This window comes from Homo sapiens, chromosome 11, assembly GCF_000001405.40.
Source record: "Homo sapiens chromosome 11, GRCh38.p14 Primary Assembly".
Taxonomy (NCBI): Eukaryota; Metazoa; Chordata; class Mammalia; order Primates; family Hominidae; genus Homo; species Homo sapiens.
The window spans coordinates 42,874,702-42,887,923 of NC_000011.10; the positions used below are offsets into that span (position 1 = coordinate 42,874,702).

The 13,222-nt window shown below is 41.8% G+C and overlaps 1 annotated feature.

Annotated features, from left to right (window-relative positions):
* Positions 1,769-2,299: an enhancer, noted in NCBI's record as "OCT4-NANOG hESC enhancer chr11:42898020-42898550 (GRCh37/hg19 assembly coordinates)". NCBI's record gives its function as "activates a minimal SCP1, AML or CMV promoter by ChIP-STARR-seq in naive H9 embryonic stem cells {active_cell/tissue: H9 hESC(naive)}" and the evidence as "EXISTENCE:reporter gene assay evidence [ECO:0000049][PMID:30033119]".

A 13,222-nucleotide genomic window follows, 5' to 3' on the forward strand; every position in this document is an offset into this window, starting at 1 on the left:
AAACACACCAATCAGCACCCTGTGTCTAGCTCAGGGTTTCTGAGTGCACCAATCGACACTCTGTATCTAGTTACTCTGGTGGGGCCTTGGAGAACCTTTGTGTGGACACTCTGTATCTAGCTAATCTAAGTGGGGACATGGAGAACCTTTGTGTCTAGCTCAGGGATTGTAAATGCATCAATCAGCGCCCTGTCGAAACAGACCACTGGGCTGTACCAATCAGCAGGAAGTGGGTGGGGCCAGAGAAGAGAATAAAAGCAGGCTGCCTGAGCCAACAGTGGCAACCCACTCAGTCCCCTTCCACACTGTGGAAGCTTTGTTCTTTCACTCTTTGCAATAAATCTTGCTACTGCTCACTCTTTGGGTCCACGCTGCTTTTATGAGCTGTAACACTCACCGCAAAGGTCTGCAGCTTCACTCCTGAAGCCAGCGAGACCACGAGCCCACCAGAAGGAATGAACAACTCCAGAAGCGCTGCCTTAAGAGCTGTAACACTCACCTCAAAGGTCTGCAGCTTCACTCCTGAGCCAGCGAGACCACGAACCCACCAGAAGGAAGAAACTCCAAACACATCCGAACATCAGAAGGAACAAACTCCAGACACGCCACTTTAAGAGCTGTAACACTCACCGCGAGGGTCCACGGCTTCATTCTTGAAGTCAGTGAGACCAAGAACCCACCAATTCCGGACACATTTTGGCAACCACGAAGGGACTTTTGCCTATCACCAAGCAGTGAGACAATTGCCGAGCGGTGAGACCATCGCCTATCGCCAAGCAGTGAGTACCATCGGACCCCTTTCGCTTGCTATTCTGTCCTATCTTTCCTTAGAATTCGGGGGCTAAATACCGGGCACCTGTCAGCCAGTTAAAAGTGACTAGTGCGGCCGCTGGACTAAAGACACGGGTGTCAGGCTTTCTGGGAAAGGGCTCTCTAACAACCCCTGACTCTTCGGAGATGGGACCGTTGGTTTGCCTAGAACCAGCTTCTGCTTTTCCTGTACTTCTGGGCTGAGCCGAGGGTCGACAGAGAGGAAAGCCATGCAGCTCCAGGGTCCCAACAACAAGTTGGTTGACCCTGCGGCCATGAGCGCAACTCTCAAAAGCATGTCTCCCAGGCGAGACTCACCCATCTATCCTATCTATCCTGACCCTTGCCTCCTGGGTCCTAATGCCTGCCAGACAAATTTCCTCTCGCCTCTCTTCTCTGAGGTTAGACCTGCTTCTAAAAATTGCTACCTGTCTCTGGTGCTTTTCTAGTTTCTCCTATAAGAATGATTTCTAGTATAAACTCCAGGACTCTGTTACCTTCTTTAGGCACCCAGGCTCACCAATCAGAAAGACATAATTTTTGTCCAAAGCCCCATCATAGTGGGGACTACCTGGAATTTTAGGATCCCTCCTCAGACTAATAGGCCTAACAAAAGCTATTCCTGAAGCTAGGATATGGGGAGCCTCAGAAATTGTATCCTTCCTATTCATGTAAGTGAGGACAAAAGGTGTCACTCTTCCAGCCCTGGAGATCCCTTCCCTCCCTCAGGGTGTGGCCCTCCACTTCACTTTTGGGGCATAACATCTTTATAGGACAGGGCTAAAGTCCCAATACTAACAGGAGAATGCTTAGGACTCTAACAGGTTTTTGAGAATGCGTCGGTAAGGGCCACTAAATCCAATTTTTCTCGGTCGGTCATCCTTGTGGTCCAGGAGGACAGGCAGGGGTGCAGGTTTTTGAGAATGCGTTGGTAAGGACCACTAAATCTGACCTTCCTTGGTCCTCCATGTGGTCTGGGAGGAAAACAAGTGTTTCTGCTGCTGTGTTGGTGAGCGCAACTATTCTGATCAGCAGGGTCCAGGGACTGTTGCGAGTTCTTGGGCAGGGGTTGTTTCTGCTGCTGCATCGGTGAGCACAACTATTCTGATCAGCAGGGTCCAGGGACCGTTGCGGGTTCTTGGGCAGGGGAAGAAACAAAACAAACAAAAACCACGGGCGGTTTTGTCTTTCAGATGGGAAACACTCAGGCATCAACAGGCTCACCCTTGAAATGCATCCTAAGCCATTGGGACCAATTTGACCCACGAACCCTGAAAAAGAGGTGGCTCATTTTTTTCTGCACTATGGCTTGCCCCAATATTCTCTCTCTGATGGGAAAAAATGGCCACCTGAGGGAAGTACAAATTACAATACTATCCTGCAGCTTGACTTTTCTGTAAGAGGGAAGGCAAATGGAGTGAAATACCTTATGTCCAAGCTTTCTTTTCATTGAGGGAGAATACACAACTATGCAAAGCTTACAATTTACATCCCACAGGAGGACCTCTCAGCTTACCCCCATATCCTAGCCTCCCTATAGCTCCCCTTCCTATTAATGGTAATCCTCCTCTAATCTCCCCTGCCCAGAAGGAAATAAGCAAAGAAATCACCAAAGGACCACAAAACCCCCGGGCTATCAGTTATGTCCCCTTCAAGCTGTAGGGGGAGGGGAATTTGGCCCAACCCGGGTACATGTCCCCTTGTCCCTCTCTGATTTAAAACAGATCAAGGCAGACCTGGGGAAGTTTTCAGATGATCCTGATAGGTACACAGATGTCCTACAGGGTCTAGGGCAAACCTTTGACCTCGCTTGGAGAGATGTCATGCTACTGTTAGATCAAACCCTGGCCTTTAATGAAAAGAATGCAGCTTTAGCTGCAGCCCAAGAGTTCAGAGATAACTGGTATCTTAGTCAAGTAAATGATAGAATGACAGCCGAAGAAAGGGACAAATTCCCTACTGGTCAGCAAGCCATCCCCAGTATGGATCCCCACTGGGACCTTGACTCAGATCATGGGGACTGGAGTCATAAACATCTGTTGACCTGTGTTCTAGAAGGACTAAGGAGAATTAGAAAAAAGCCCATGAATTATTCAATGATGTCCACCATAACTCAGGGAAAGGAAGAAAATCCTGCCTTCCTCGAGCGGCTATGAGAGGCCTTAAGAAAATATACTCCCCTGTCACCCGAATCACTTGAGGGTCAATTGATTCTAAAAGATAAGTTTATTACCCAATCAGCTGCAGATATCAGGAGAAAGCTCCAAAAGCAAGCCCTGGGCCCTGAACAAAATCTAGAGGCATTATTAAACCTGGCAACCTCGGTGTTCTATAATAGGGACCAAGAGGAACAGGCCCAAAAGGAAAAGCGAGATCAGAGAAAGGCCACAGCCTTAGTCATGGCCCTCAGACAAACAAACCTTGGTGGTTCAGAGAGGACAGAAAATGGAGCAGGCCAATCACCTGGTAGGGCTTGTTATCAGTGTGGTTTACTAGGACACTTTAAAAAAGATTGTCCAATGAGAAACAAGCTACCCCCTCGTCCATGTCCACTATGCTGAGGCAATCACTGGAAGGTGCACTGCCCCAGATGATGAAGGTTCCCTGTGTCAGAAGCCTCCAACCAGATGATCCAACAACAGGACTGAGGGTGCCCGGGGCAAGTGCCAGCTCATGTCATCACCCTCACTGAGCCCCAGGTATGTTTAACTACTGAGGGCCAGGAAATTGACTTCCTCCTGGACACTGGCATGGCCTTCTCAGTGTTAATCTCCTGTCCTGGATGACTGTCCTCAAGGTCCATTACCATCCGAGGAATCCTGGGACAGCCTGTAACCAGGTATTTCTCCCACCTCCTCAGTTGTAATTGGGAGACTTTGCTCTTTTCACATGCCTTTTTTGTTATGCCTGAAAGTCCCCCACCCTTATTAGGGAGGGATATATTAGCCAAGGCTGGAGCTATTATCTACATGAATATAGGGAACAAGTTACCCATTTGTTGTCCCCTACTTGAGGAGGGAATCAACCCTGAAGTCTGGGCATTGGAAGGACAATTTGGAAGGGCAAAAAATGCTCACCCAGTCCAAATCAGGTTAAAAGATCCCACCACTTTTTCTTACCAAAGGCAATATCCCTTAAGGCCTGAAGCTCATAAAGGATTACAGAATATTGTTAAACATTTGAAAGCTCAAGGCTTAGTAAGGAAATGCAGTAGTCCCTGCAACATCCCAATTTTGGGAGTACAAAAACCCAACAGTCAGTGGAGACTACTTCAAGACCTTAGACTCATTAATGAGGCAGTAATTCCACTATATCCAGTTGTATCCAACCCCTATACCCTGCTCTCTCAAATACCAGAGGAAGCAGAATGGTTCATGGTTCTGGACCTCAGGATGCCTTCTTCTGTATTCCCCTGCACTCTGATTCCCAGTTCCTCTTTGCCTTTGAGGATCCCACAGACCACATGTCCCAACTTACATGGATGGTCTTGCCCCAAGGGTTTAGGGATAGCCCTCATCTCTTTGGTCAGGCCCTAGCCCAAGATCTAGGCCATTTCTCAAGTCCAGGCACTCTGGTCCTTCAATATGTGGACGATTTACTTTTGGCTACCAGTTTGGAAGCCTTGTGCCAGCAGGCTACTCTAGACCTCTTGAAATTTCTAGCTAATCAAGGGTACAAGGTGTCTAGGTCAAAGGCCCAGTTTTGCCTACAGCAGGTTAAATATCTAGGCCTTATCTTAGCCAAAGAGACCAGGGCCCTGAGCAAGGAATGAATACAACCTATACTGGCTTATCCTCACCCTAAGACATTAAAACAGTTGCGGGGGTTCCTTGGAATTACCGGCTTTTGCTGACTATGGATCCCCGGATACAGTGAGATAGGCAGGATCCTCTATACTCCAATCAAGGAAACCCAGAGAGCAAATACTTATCTAGTTGAATGGGAACCAGAGGCAGAAACAGCCTTCAAAACCTTAAAGCAGTCTCTAGTACAAGCTCCAGCTTTAAGCCTTCCCACAGGACAGAACTTCTTTTTATATGTCACAGAGAGAGCCAGGATAGCTCTTGGAGTCCTTACTCAGACCCGTGGGACAACCCCACAACCAGTGGCATACCTAAGTAAGGAAATTGATGTAGTAGCAAAAGGCTGGCCTCACTGTTTAAGGGTAGTTGCAGCAGTGGCCATCTTTGTGTCTGAGGCTATCAAAATAATACAAGGAAAGGATCTCACTGTCTGGACTACTCATGATGTAAATGGCATACTAGGTGCCAAAGGAAGTTTATGGCTATCAGACAACCGCCTACTTAGATACCAGGCACTACTCCTTGAGGGACCAGTGCTTCAAATACGCACGTGCATGGCCCTCAACCCTGCCACTTTTCTCCCAGAGGATGGGGAACCAATCGAGCATGACTGCCAACAAATTATAGTCCAGACTTATGCCACCCGAGATGATCTCTTAGAAGTCCCCTTAACTAATCCTGACCTTAACCTATATACCAATGGAAGTTTAGTTGTGGAGAATGGGATACGAAGGGCAGGTTACACCATAGTTAGTGATGTAACCATACTTGAAAGCAAACCTCTTCCCCCAGGGGCCAGTGCCCAGTTAGCAGAACTAGTGGCACTTACCCGAGCCTTAGAACTGGGAAAGGGAAAAAGAATAAATGTGTATACAGATAGCAAGTATGCTTATCTAATCCTACATGCCCATGATGCAATATGGAAAGAGAGGGAGTACCTAACCTCTGGGGGAACCCCCATTAAATACCACAAGGAAATCATAGAGTTATTGCACACAATGCAAAAACGCAAAGAGGTGGGAATCTTACACTGACAAAGCCATCAAAATGGGAAGGAGAGGGGAGAACAGCAGCATAAGCAGCTTGCAGAGGCAGCAGAAAGGAAAGAAAGAGACAGAAGTCAGAGAGAAAGAGGGACAGACACAGAAAGTCAAAGAGAGATGGAAGTAGTAAAGAAAAAAATAGTGTACCCTATTCCTTTAAAAGCCAGGGTAAATTTCTATCTACCCAGCCAAGGCATATTCTACTTATGTGGATCTTCAACCCATATCTGCCTCTCAAACAGTTTGCAAGAAATAACTAAATCTGTCCTTACATTACAATCCCAAATAGACTCTTTGGCAGCAGCGATTCTCCAAAACCACTGAGGCCTAGACCTCCTCACTGCTGAGAAAGGAGGATTCTGCACCTTCTTAGGGGAAGAATGTTGTTTTCATACTAACCAGTCGGGGATAGTAGGAGATGCTGCCCAGTGTTTACAGGAAAAGGCTTCTGAAATCAGACAACGCCTTTCAAATTCTTATACCAATCTCTGGAGTTGGGCAACATGGCTTCTCCCCTTTCTAGGTCCCATGGCAGCCATCTTGCTGTTACTCACCTTTGGGCCCTGTATTTTTAACCTTCTTGTCAAATTTGTTTCCTCTAGAATCCAGGCCATTAAGCTACAGATGGTCTTACAAATGGAACCCCAAATGAGTTCAACTAACAACTTCTACCGAGGACCCTTGGACCGACCCGCTGGCACTTCCCCTGGCCTAGAGAGTTCCCCTCTGAAGGACACTACAACTGCAGGGCCCCTTCTTTGCCCCTATCCAGCAGGAAGTAGCTAGAGCGGTCAACGACCAAATTCCCAACAGCTGTTAGGGTGTCCTGTTTAGAGGGGGGATTGAGAGGTGACAGCATGCTGGCAGTCCTCACAGCCCTCGCTCAATCTCAGCACCTTCTCTGCCTGGGCTACCACTTTGGCAGCACTTGAGGAGCCCTTCAGCCCACCGCTGCACTGTGGGAGCCCCTTTCTGGGCTAGCCAAGGCCGGAGCCGGCTCCCTCAGCTTGCAGGGAGGTGTGGAGGGAGAGGCACGAACGGGAACCTGGGCTGTGTTCAGTGCTTGCAGGCCAGGTGGAGTTCTGGGTGGGCGTGGGCTTGGCAGGCCCTGCACTCGGAGCACCCAGCCGGCGCTGCCGGCCCGGGTAATGAGGGGCTTAGCACCCGGGCCAGTGGCTGCGGAGGGTGTACTGGGTCCCCCAGCAGTGCCAGCCCACCGGCGCTGTCCTTGATTTCTCACCAGGCCTTAGCTGCCTTCCCGTGGGGCAGGGCTTGGGACCTGCAGCCCACCATGCCTGAGCCTCCCACCACCTCCATGGGCTCCCATGTGGCCCAAGCCTCCCTGATGAGCGCCTTCCCCTGCTCCACAGCGCCCAGTCCCATAGACCACCCAAGGGCAGAGGAGTGTGAGCACATGGAGCGGGACTGGCAGGCAGCTCCACCTGCAGCCCCAGTGCGGGATCCACTGGGTGAAGCCAGCTGGGCTCCTGAGTCTGGTGGGGACATGGAGAACCTTTATGTCTAGCCCAGGGATTGTAAATACACCAATCAGCACTCAGTATCTAGCTCAGGGTTTGTGAATGCACCAATGGACACTTTGTATCTAGCTACCCTGGTGGGGCCTTGGAGAACCTTTATGTCTAGCTCAGGGATTGTAAACACACCAATCAGCACCCTGTGTCTTCCTCAGGGTTTGTGAGTGCACCAATTGACACTCTATCTAGCTGCTCTGGTGGGGCCTTGGAGAACCTTTATGTCTAACTCAGGGATTGTAAATACACTAATCAGCACTCTGTATCTAGCTCAAGGTTTGTAAACACACCAATCAGCACCCTGTGTCTAGCTCATGGTTTGTGAGTGCACCAATCGACACTCTGTATCTAGCTACTCTGGCGCGGCCTTGGAGAACCTTTATGTCTAGCTCAGGGATTGTAAATACACCAATTGGCACTCTGTCTCTAGCTTCAGGTTTGTAAACACACCAATCAGCACCCTGTGTCTAGCTCAGGGTTTGTGAGTGCACCAATCGACACTCTGTATCTAGCTACTCTGCTGGGGCCTTGGTGAACCTTTGTGTTGATACTCTGTATCTAGCTAATCTAAGTGGGGACATGGAGAACCTTTGTGTCTAGCTCAGGGATTGTAAATGCATCAATCAGCACCCTGTCAAAATAGACCACTCGGCTCTACCAATCAGCAGGACGTGGGTGGGGCCAGAGAAGAGAATAAAAGCAGGCTGCCTGAGCCAACAGTGGCAACCCACTCGGGTCCCATTCCACACTGTGGAAGCTTTGTTCACTCTTTGCAATAAATCTTGCTACTGCTCACTCTTTGGGTCCACACTGCTTTTATGAGCTGTAATACTCACCACAAAGGTCTGCAGCTTCACTCCTGAGCCAGAGAGACCACAAACCCACCAGAAGGAAGAAACTCTGAACACATCCGAACATCAGAAGGAACAAACTCCAGATGCGCCACTTTAAGAGCTGTAACACTCATCGCAAGGGTCCGCGGCTTCATTCTTGAAGTCAGTGAGACCAAGAACCCACCAATTCTGGACACACTAGCATCTACTTTTAATTCTCCTATAACTTTCTGGGTGAACTTGTAATTTGCACTACAGCTTTTAATCTATTAAACTAAGAGATTGAATACATCATCTTTGGGATTTATACTAGCTCTGACAATCTATAACAAAACTGGTGCAAATTAACGCTCAGCTAATTAAAAACAGTTTAACAAAAAGAGTTAGTAACCCAAAAGCTTACTGTAACAAAGAAGCTAATATAAATAAAGGATATTGGCTAATAAAGAATTGTGGGGACTATGGCAAACTAGAGACAGCTACTACTGAGTGTTGCCTAATTCTGGCCAGGTGAAGTATGGACCCTGTGTTGTAAAACTGTCTGATATTTTTGGGAGAAAATGTAAATACAGATAACCTTAATATACCAGTGTAAATTAAACAAACCTAACTTGTAGGTAAAAACATTCCCACAAAAAATACTCCAGGTGCACATGCCTTCATTGGGGGAATTGTACTGCATATTTTTTTTAAAAAAAGCATTAATCATAGACAAACTCTTTCAGAATATCGAAGAGACTAGAATGCTTTCAGCATTAACCTTATAACTAAACTCAACTCCCAAAAATTACAAAGGAAAAAACACCTAAAAGATCAATATTCCTCTTGAAAAATGCTGCAAAAATTCTAAACAAAATATTAGCAAGTCAAATCCAACAACATATAAAACTGATAATACCAAGTGAGTTTTACTCCAGGAATGAAAGATTTATTTAACATTTGAAACTCTATTATTATACTTTACCATAGGAACAACCTAAAAAAATCATATTATCTTAGAATATACAGAAAAAGTATCTGTCAAAATTCAATGTTCATTCTTGGAAAAATCTCAGTAAACATAAATTAAGAGAATTTTCTGAATCTAATAAAGGGCATCTATGAAAACCTACAACTAACTTCATACTTAATGGTAAAAGACTGGCTGTTTTTCTGCTAAGATTAGGAAGAAGACAAGGAAGTCTACTCTCACTATAACAATTAATTGAACTGTAATTACTAGCCATTGCAGTAAGACAAGAAAAAGAAAAAAAAAGACATCCTGTTTGAAAAGCAAGAAGACAGTCTACACTTACAAACAACGTGATTATCTATATAGAAAACCCAATGGAGTTTACACCAGCAAAAGTTCTTAGAACTAGTAATTTAGTTTAGCAAGTCTGCCAGATATAAAACCAATATACAAAAATAAATTGTATTTCTATATAGTAGTCATGAACAATCAGAAATTGAAGTTGAAAAAGTAATAACATTTTCGAGACCTAAAAAATGTAAAAATAAATAGGAATAATCTGAAGAAATCTTTACAAGACCTGTAGCAAAACATTGCTAAGAAAAAATTTTAAAGACCAAAATAAATGGGGAGATATAATGTGTTCATGGAATAGAAGACTCCATAGTTTCTGATGTCAATTTTCCCCAAATTTATCTGTAGATTCAATGAAGCCCCAATGAAAACTGCCAGCTTGCCTTATGGTAGACTTTGACAATCTGATTTTAAAATTAATATAGAAATACAAAAGACTCTGAATATCCAAAACAACTTTGAAAAGGAAGAACAAAGTTAAAGTGTTAGTGCTACCAGATATTAAGACTTACTATAAAGCTACAATAATCCACATGGTGTGGTATTTGTATAAAGATAATATATCAGTGGATCGGATAAAATCCAGAAATAGAACCAAACATATATGGACTACTGTTCAATGGTGTATAGATTATTCAGTGAAAGGACAGTCTTTTCAACAAACTGTTCTTTAATAATTAGATATCAATATGCAAAAAAGTGAATATCAATCCATGCCTCACGTTATATATTAACTCAAAATGGATCTTAGATCTAAATTAAAACTTACAGCTATAAAACTTCTAGAATAAAACACAATAGGAAATATTTGGGTTACGCAAGGAATTACTGTACAAAACACCAAAAGAACAATCTATTTTAAATATTAAAACATTGAACTTCATATAAATAAAAATCTTCTGCTCTTTGAAAGATACTTATTTTAAAAGTCACCAAAACAAGCCAAAGATTGGGATAAAATATTTGCAAATCATTTACCTGACAAAGGATTTGAGTTCAGAATATGTACGTAACATAGAAAACTCAATAATGAGAAAACAAACTAATTTTTCTAATGGGCAAAAGATTTGAACAGATACTTATCAAAGAAGATAGACAGAAAGCAAATAAATCAATGAAAGGATACCCAGTACTTAATATCATTAAGCATTAGGGAAATGCAAATCTAAAACACAACAACAACAACAAAAACACATGCAACTTTTATATTTAAATTAAAATCTCTTACAAGCCAAGGTTTGATGAGGATGTGGAGGAACTTAAACTCATACACTCCTTGTGAAAATGTAAAATACTACACCTGCTTTGAAAAATACTTTGGCAATTTCTTAAAATGTTGAACATACATCTATCTTATGATGTAGCTAGTTCACTCCTACGTAGTTACTAGAAATCATATGTTCAGACTTCACAAGTGTTCAGAGCAGCTTTATATGGAATAGCCAAAATTTAGAAATAACCCAAATATTCATGAACATGCAAATAGATAAACAAGTAGCAATATCTTCCTACAAATACTACTCACAACAAAAAGGAATAAACTATTGATACATTTAATAACCAGATAAATATAAAAATAACTATGCTAAGTGAAATAAACTAGATGAAAACAGTAAAAACTATATTATACACCCATATAAAATTCTAGAAAATACAAACTAATCTATACTGATTAAAAGTAGATCTACAGTGGCATGCGAATGGTGAGAAGGTCAGGAATAAATAGAACAGAGGGTTTACAAAGTTTTATCATGAATTCTTTGGTGTGACAGATACGTTCATTATGTTGATTGTGGTCATGGGTGTGTGTATGTCAAAACTTACCAAATTAAATATTGTAATTTATTGTATGTCATTTATATCTCAATAAAGCTGTCTTTTTTTCTAATCACCTTTGAGAATTCATAAGCAAAAGCAGTCTTCATGTGAGTTGTTTGCTCGAAATCACACTACAAATTTTAAAAATAGCAAGAAATAGGCTGGTAGAAATAAATCTAAATATAACTCATCACATATCTATAAAAGGTTTAAATTTACAAGACAAAAGACAAAGATAGCCTACAAAAACTTGTCTAAAAATGAAACCACAAAGAGAAAACAGCAAAAGGCATACTAATTCAATATTAGTCAAAAGAAAGCTGGTGTAGTTATATTAATGTGATATAAATTATACTACGAGTCAAACAAAATTCTGAAGCATAACTAGATTAATTATAATGAAATAATGTATTGTAAAAATAAAAACTAGAGAGAGTAGGAGGAAATTTTTGGAGGTGATGAATACGTTTATGGCATAGATTGTACTGATGGTTTCATAGGTTCATGCTCATCTTCAAGCTTATCAAATTGCAAATATGTACAGCTTTTTTATGGCAAACATACCTCAATAAAATAGTTTAAATAAAAATAATAAAAGTTCGATTTGCCAGAATATATAAAAGTTTCAAACTAATAAATGCATAGTATTCTCTCAAAATACATAAAATAAAATTTGCATGATTTATAAGAAATTTGTAAATGATTAGCACTCTAGGTTCTGAATTGTAAGAAATTTCAAATCAATAACACAAGGAATTTTGAAAACCATAAAAACACATGGAAATTAAACAATATGCTCCTGAATGACCAGTGGGTCAAAGAAGAAATTAAGAAGGTAATTGAAAATTTTCTTGCAACAAATGATAATGGAATCACAACATACCAAAACCTATAGGATACAGCAAAAGCAATACTAAGAGAGAAGTTTACAGCTATAAATGCCTATATCAAAAAAGAAAAACTTCAAATAAACAACCTAATGATGCATCTGAAAGAAGTAGAAAGCAAGAGAAAATCAAATCCAAAATTAGTAGAAGAAAAGAAATAATAAAGATCAGAGTGGAAATAAATGAACTGATACAAAGAAAGCAATATAAAAGGTCAATGAATGAAAAGTTGGTTTTTTGAAAAGATAAACAAAATTGGCAAAGCTCTAGCCAAAGGAAAAAAAAAAAGAGAGAAGACTCAAATAAAATCAGAGATGAAAAAGGAGACATTACAACTGATACCACAGAAATTCAAAGCATCATTAGAGGCTACTATGAGAAATTATATGCCAATAAATTGGAAAACCTAGGAAGAAATGGATAAATTCCTAGACAAATACAACCTGCTAAGATTTGACCATGATGAAATTCAAAATCTGAACAGATCATGACAAGTAATAAAATAGAAGCCATAATAAAATGTCTCCCAGCAAAGAAAAGCCCAGGACCTGGCAGTGAAGATGGTTTCACTGCTGAATTGCACCAAACATTTAAAGAAGAACTAATACCAATCCTACTCAAACTATTCCAAAAAATAGAAAAGGAAGAAATACTTTCCAGCTTACTCTATGAGGATAGTATTACCATGATACCAAAACCAGACAAAGATACATCGAAAAAAGAAAACTACAGGGCAATATCCCTGATGAACATTGATGCAAAAATCCTCAAAAAAATACCAACAAACTGAATTCAATAACGCATTAAAAAGATAATTCACTATAAGCAAGTGGGATTTATCCCAGGGATGAAAGGATGGTTCAACATATGCAAATTAAACAATGTGATACAGCATATGAACAGGATGAAGGACAAGTACCATATGATAATTTCAATTAATGTTGAAAAAGCAGTTAATGAAATTCAACATCTGTTCATGATAACAACCCTTAAAAAAACTGGCTATAGAAGGAACATACCTCAACACAATAAAAGCTATATATGACAAGCCCACCGCTAGTATCAAACTGAATGGGGAAAAACTGAAAGTCTTTCCTTTAAGATCTGGAACATGACAAGGATGCCTACTGTCACCACTTTTAATCAATACAGTACTGGAAGTCCTAGCTAGAAGAATGAGACAAGAGAAA